Source organism: Homo sapiens, chromosome 8 (assembly GCF_000001405.40).
Source record: "Homo sapiens chromosome 8, GRCh38.p14 Primary Assembly".
In the NCBI taxonomy this organism is placed as follows: Eukaryota; Metazoa; Chordata; class Mammalia; order Primates; family Hominidae; genus Homo; species Homo sapiens.
The window spans coordinates 130,036,907-130,042,906 of NC_000008.11; the positions used below are offsets into that span (position 1 = coordinate 130,036,907).

At 47.8% G+C, this 6,000-nt stretch overlaps 3 annotated features.

Annotated features, from left to right (window-relative positions):
• Positions 5,185-6,000: an enhancer, noted in NCBI's record as "H3K4me1 hESC enhancer chr8:131054337-131055152 (GRCh37/hg19 assembly coordinates)". NCBI's record gives its function as "activates a minimal SCP1, AML or CMV promoter by ChIP-STARR-seq in primed H9 embryonic stem cells {active_cell/tissue: H9 hESC(primed)}" and the evidence as "EXISTENCE:reporter gene assay evidence [ECO:0000049][PMID:30033119]".
• Positions 5,362-5,481: an enhancer, noted in NCBI's record as "active region_27977". NCBI's record gives its function as "activates an Ori minimal core promoter by ATAC-STARR-seq in GM12878 lymphoblastoid cells {active_cell/tissue: GM12878}" and the evidence as "EXISTENCE:reporter gene assay evidence [ECO:0000049][PMID:35858748]".
• Positions 5,532-5,651: an enhancer, noted in NCBI's record as "active region_27978". NCBI's record gives its function as "activates an Ori minimal core promoter by ATAC-STARR-seq in GM12878 lymphoblastoid cells {active_cell/tissue: GM12878}" and the evidence as "EXISTENCE:reporter gene assay evidence [ECO:0000049][PMID:35858748]".

A 6,000-nucleotide genomic window follows, 5' to 3' on the forward strand; every position in this document is an offset into this window, starting at 1 on the left:
CTATTCATTCATATTGTTACTCAGCACTATTCATTCATATTGTTACATGTAGTCCTGGTGTATTCATTTAGTGATTCATGCCACTCATGAACACTGTGAACCACCGAATCTTCCTACCTATCCAAGTCTTATTACCTATATTCCTCCATAAGACAGCCAGCTCTGTGAGAGCAAAGATTATTTTTTAGGTACTAGAACAGCATGTAGCATGTAATGTGACCTGAAAAGCTGGTTAATTCGTTCCAAGAATTAATCAAAGCTGTGTAGTATCTCACCATTGAAATGTAACACAATTGTTTTGCTCATTCTTCCATGGATGACACTTTCATTACTCCAGTATTTTGCTTGCTTATTTATTTATTTATTTATTTATTTATTCATTTTGAGACATTCTTGCTCTGTTGTCCAGGCTGGAGTGCAGTGGCGTGATCTTGACTCATTGCAACCTCCGCCCTCTGGGTACAAGTGATTCTTGTGTGTCAGCCGCCCAAGTAGCTGGAATCACAGGCACGTGTCACCACGCCCGGCTAATTTCTGTATTTTTAAAATAGAGACAGGGTTTTGCCATGTTGGTCGGGCTGATATTTTTGCTAATTTAAACAGTACTTTTGCAAGAATATTTCCCTTGTCTCCTTTTGCACGTGTAGGACAGAATTTTTATGTACTCAAGGATGGATTAGCTGAGTAATGGGTAGCTATGTGCAGCTTCAAATTTATTAAATATTACTATCTGCTTTCTAAACTGGTTATACTGAGAGTACATAAAAAGTCTGACCTCAGAACCAGGGCACTCAAATCCTTTCAGAACTTTTTTCCATATAAAAAGCAGGTATGTTACTGTTTGACACATCGAGAATTTCCATCTCTTTCTTTTTGCCGGCTGTTAGTGTTCCATTGTCAAGAGTCACCTGACTTTTGCAAATCAGTTTCCTGTTGGTGGATGTTGGATTCTGCTCTGAAACATCATGTGTTCAGCATGTTTGCATGTTCTGTGGTTCTGTTTTTGTGGTTACATATTATTTTATTGGGTGGCTCTATCAAAATTAACTACTCACATATATTTTTTAAATAACTGCATAAAATAAATGTTTTATTTTTCTTAGGGAATTTCCCAAGAATTAAAATTTTGGTCAGTGTATTAATAAGTTTTGTGCTTCTTATGTATTGCCAAAAATATTATTATAATTTAGATTGTCTGTTGCCTGGAAAACTGCTTAAGTATTGTGTGCATTTTTTTTGTTGTTTTTTCTGTTTTGTTTTTTTGAGATGAGGTCTCACTATGTTGCACAAGCTGGTCTCCAATTCCTGGCCCCAAGTGATCCTCCTTCCTTGGCCTCCCAAAATGCTGGGATTATAGGTATGAGCCACGGTGCCCAGCCTATATGCATTTATTTTGCTGACTTGACTCTGAGTCTCCACATAGGCAGTGCTGTGTTGATTATTTTCTGTGAATGGAACCTGGCACATAGTATATACACAGTTAAAAGAAAAAAATGGGGGCCAGGTGTAGTGGCTCATGCCTGTAATCCCAGCACTTTGGGAGGCGGTGGCGGGCAGATCACTTGAGGTCAGGAGTTTGAGACTAGCCTGGCCAACATGGTGAAACCCCATGTCTACTAAAAAGACCAAAATTAGCTGGGTGTGGTGGTGTGCACCTGTAGTCCCAGCTACTTGGGAGGCTGAGGCAGGATAGTTGCTTGAACCTGGGAGGCAGAGGTTGCAGTGAGCTGAGATCACGTCACTGCACTCTAGCCTGGGCACAGAGCAAGACTCTGTCTCAAAAAAAAAAAAAAATTAAACAATTAGCTGGACGTGGTGGTGAACCTATAGACCCAGCTATTCATGAGGCTGAAGCAGGAGGATCACCTGAGCCTAGGAGTTCGAGGCTGCAGGAAACTATGACCATGCCACTGCACTCCAGTCTGGGCAACAGAACGAGACTCTGTCTCTGAAAAAGAAAGAAAAAATGGCTCCCAGAGGAGAAATGGCTATCAGTCTACTATAAAGATGGGCCTCCAGGTATAAGGACAGGTTGCTCCAAGCCTAAGTCAGTTAGAGAACCAGAGCTGGTGGTGAGGGCAAGGCTGTGATTCCTGGGGGGCTACCTGGGGCCACCTGGGCCTGCCTTCTCATCCATTCCTGCTGCAGGCAGTCAGCTGGCTGGGCTGCCCCTGCCCCTGGCTGGTGAGCGTGGGGTAGGGAAACCGGCCAAGGGCAGAGCCAGGAGCCAGCCTCGCCTGCCTGCTGCAGGCCTGAGACAGCTGTGGGGTGTGAGACCAGGAGGGAGCTCACAGCGCACAAGCTTGTAGTCACAAGGGGTTTGAGGGAGCAAGCCACCTGGGCGACACTTGCCCAAGACATACGCTCTAGCTGTGTGACTTTGGGAAAATGAGGGATCTTCAAATGGGGAGATTATCGTGAATTACCTGGGTGGACCCAATGTAATCACAGGGATCCTTATGAAGGGGAACGAAAGGGTCAAAGTCAGAAACAGGAGAGGAAACCACGCAGCCAGAGGTTGGAGTGAAACGTTTTGAAGATAGAGGAAAGGTGCCACAAGCCAAGGAATGCAGGAAGCCTCTAGAAAATGGAAAAGCCAAGGAAGGAAGTTCTCCCCTGGAGCCTCCAGAAGGAACACAGTCCTTCCAACACCTTGGTTTTAGACTTCTGACCTCCAGAAGAGGAAGAGAATAAATCTGTGTTATTCTAAACGACTAAGTTCGCAGTAATTTGTCGTAGGAAATGACACCCTCTAAGCCCCTGAGACCTCATCTGTAAAGTGGAGATGCTAATAGAACCTATTTAATACAGCTGCTTTGTGATTTACACACATTAAGGTATTTGAAATGTTTAGAAGAATGCCTGGAAAATAGCATTTAACAAACACTTGGGCAGGTCACTCAAGCTCTCTGGACCCAGAGACCCCCAAGGTCAGGAAGGGCTACTTCTGAGTGCGTGTTCTCAGCGGCTGCGGCCACCTCTGGTCTCCCTGGACCAGCAGATCCTTCTGCAGCCCTCCTCTTTAGCAGGTGCCTGAAGCTGTCAGTCAGACAAGCTCTAGGAAGGTGCCAGGATGGGTATCTTTCTGCATCATGGGGGAGCACTGTGACCTGAAACCCTGACCCAGCATTCCCAGGGCATCAGAGGGGAGTTAACGGGTTCGTTGGAGTGGAGAAGAAAGCCCCTTAGCTCCCGACCTTCCTGCAGGGCTGCATTACATACAGCCGAGCAGCCAGGAAAGCAACGAGAGGCATCCACTTTCCAGAAGGTCAGGGAAGAGGAATCAGCTCGTTAATAGAATAGTGATTTACCATGTTCAAAGCTTACACACAGGCCGGGCGCTGTGGTTCATGTCTGTAATACCGGCACTTTGGGAGGCCGAGGTGGGCGGATCACCTGAGGTCAGGAGTTTGAGACCAGCCTGGCCAACATGGTGAAACCCTGTCTCTACTAAAAGTACAAAAATTAGCCGGACGTGATGGCAGGTGCCTGTAATCCCAGCTACTCTGGAGGCTGAGGCAAGATAATTGCTTGAACCCTTGAGGCAGATGTTGCAGTGAGCCGAGATCGCGCCATTGCATTCCACCCTGGGCGACAAGAGGGAGACTCCATCTTAAAAAAAAAAAAAAAAAAAAGTGGTCTGGGCACGGTGGCTCACGCCTGTAATCCTAGCACTTTGGGAGGCCGAGGCGGGCAGATCATGAGGTCAGGAGATCGAGACCATCCTGGCTAACACAGTGAAACCCCATCTCTACTAAAAATACAAAAAATTAGCTGGCGTGGTGGTGGGCACCTGTAGTCCCAGCTACTCGGGAGGCTGAGGCCGGAGAATGACGTGAACCCGGGAGGCGGAGCTTGCAAAGAGCCAAGACTGCGCCACTGCACTCCAGCCTGGGAGACAGAGCAAGACTGCATCTCAAAATAAATAAATAAATAAATAAAAAGCTTACATACATATATATATGCACAAGTGCACACACACACGTAAGAACATCTATGCATGTACATGCACACACACACATGCTCCCAACAGTGCCAGGATCTAGGCAGAACTATGTAATCTCTGTTTTCCAGATGAAGAAACTCAAACTTAGAGGGAAAAATGCTCGCTCAAGGTCATCAAGTTGGCTATAGGCACCCAGCAAGGGCCACAGCCTGGGCCACATCCCCGCATCTTGGTTCAGCAGTCCTGGGGGTGGGTGATCTCAGCAGTCAGGTTCCAGTTTGTCTCCTGCCATTGCTGTCCTGCAGGGCTGCCCCTCCTCATTCCTTCTTCCCCTCCTAATTGGGTGCAGGTACAAATAGGATTATATTGATAGCAATACCAATTGGATGAGGTATCAGTTGTTTTTGAATGTCCTCTCCTAGGCCAGAAGGCAAGAGAATGGCTTCTGTGGTTCTCACCTCTTCTCTCAGTGTATTTTTGGTAGGAGGGGGTCAAGTTTTTGATTTGTTTATCTATTTTTTTTTTTTTGAGAAGGAGTTTCACTGTCGCCCAGGCTAGAGTGCAATGGCGCAGTCCCAACTCACAGCAACCTCCGCCTCCCAGGTTCAAGTGATTCTCGATTCTCCTGCCTCAGCCTCCTGAGTAGCTAGGATTACAGGCGTGTGCCACCACACCCGGCTAATCTGTGTATTTTTAGTAGAGATGGGGTTTCACCATGTTGGCCAGGCTGCTCTCAAACTCCTAAGTGATCTGCCCACCTCGGCCTCCCAAAGTGCTGGGATTGCAGGTGTGAGCCACCGTGCCCAGCCATGGGGTCAGGTTTTAAAGATGTTGAGGAGCTGCTGTGCATATCACTGCAGAGAGCATCAGATGGGCAGACACAGGCCATGCCTAGCAAGCTCAACATCTGGTCATGGCCTGAGCCCCACAACTTGCCGGAGGTTACACAAGGTGCTGATGGAGTGTGGAGGGAACAAGGAGAGTGGCTTGTGCAGGAGGTGCCTCAGGGATGAGGGAAACGCTAAAGCAAGTGAGAAAAGCATGGCCTGATGGCCTCGCAGGACTCAGTGGTAGAGGCCAGGCCAGGATCCAGCCCATTTCCATCTAAGCCCTCCTTTTTTTTTTTTTTTTTTTTTTTGCTTTAATATCCACATATTGCTTTAAGAAAAAAAATCAAAATGTGTAAATGCTATTTTTCAAAGGATAGTCTGTGACCACCGACATCAGAATCACCTGGGGGAATCTGCAAAGACAGAATCCTGGGCCTCTGCCAGCTCCACCCGACCTGCTGACTCAGAGTCTCTGAGAGCGGGGTGCAGGGTTTGCATTATTAGCACTCAAGTTTGAGACCCACAGGTTAAGTAATGGGAAAAGCAAAGACTCAGAGATTTGGCAGGGACCAATGGGTCTGCTTGGCAGAGGCGGAAGGGTAGCATCAGGGTACCTGCTCTGGGCTTGGCTCCTCTTGGCCTTGGCTCCTCTGGGGCATCATGGGAACAAGGAGGAGCAGACACCTCGCCAGCCGGGGTGTGTCTGAGCCCCAGGAATCCTGCCTCGCAGGGAGGATTCTCTGAGTAGAGGTGATGTGTTATCACAGTATCAGCATTTCTCAGCCTGACTCATGGAGGGGAGTGACTTTACTGTTAGGGCCTGAGGGGAAATAATGAGGAACTTCTAGACCAGTTTCATTTTTATTTTTAAACCCACAGTTCACCCTTGGGCCTTTTGCCAGACCCACTGTTCTAGAACCTAACACCGGCCTGGCCCTTTCTTCTCCCCCAGGCCACTGTGCCACCTGACTTTGGAAGCAAAGCATGGCTGTGGGTATCATCAGAGTGGCAGAACCCGGAACAGACTAGGCCCAAAGGCTCCCGGCACATCTGTCCAGGCAGCACTCCCCATTAGGCTGGGATGTGGCAGATGCGATGCTGTGGGGGAGACTGAAACCCCTTACTAGGGCCAAAAGGCTGTTTCCCCTAGACAGGAGACAAATAAACGACACTTTCTCTTGCTTTCGGCTGATGGCAAACTTCTTACTGGCCCAACAGGCTGAG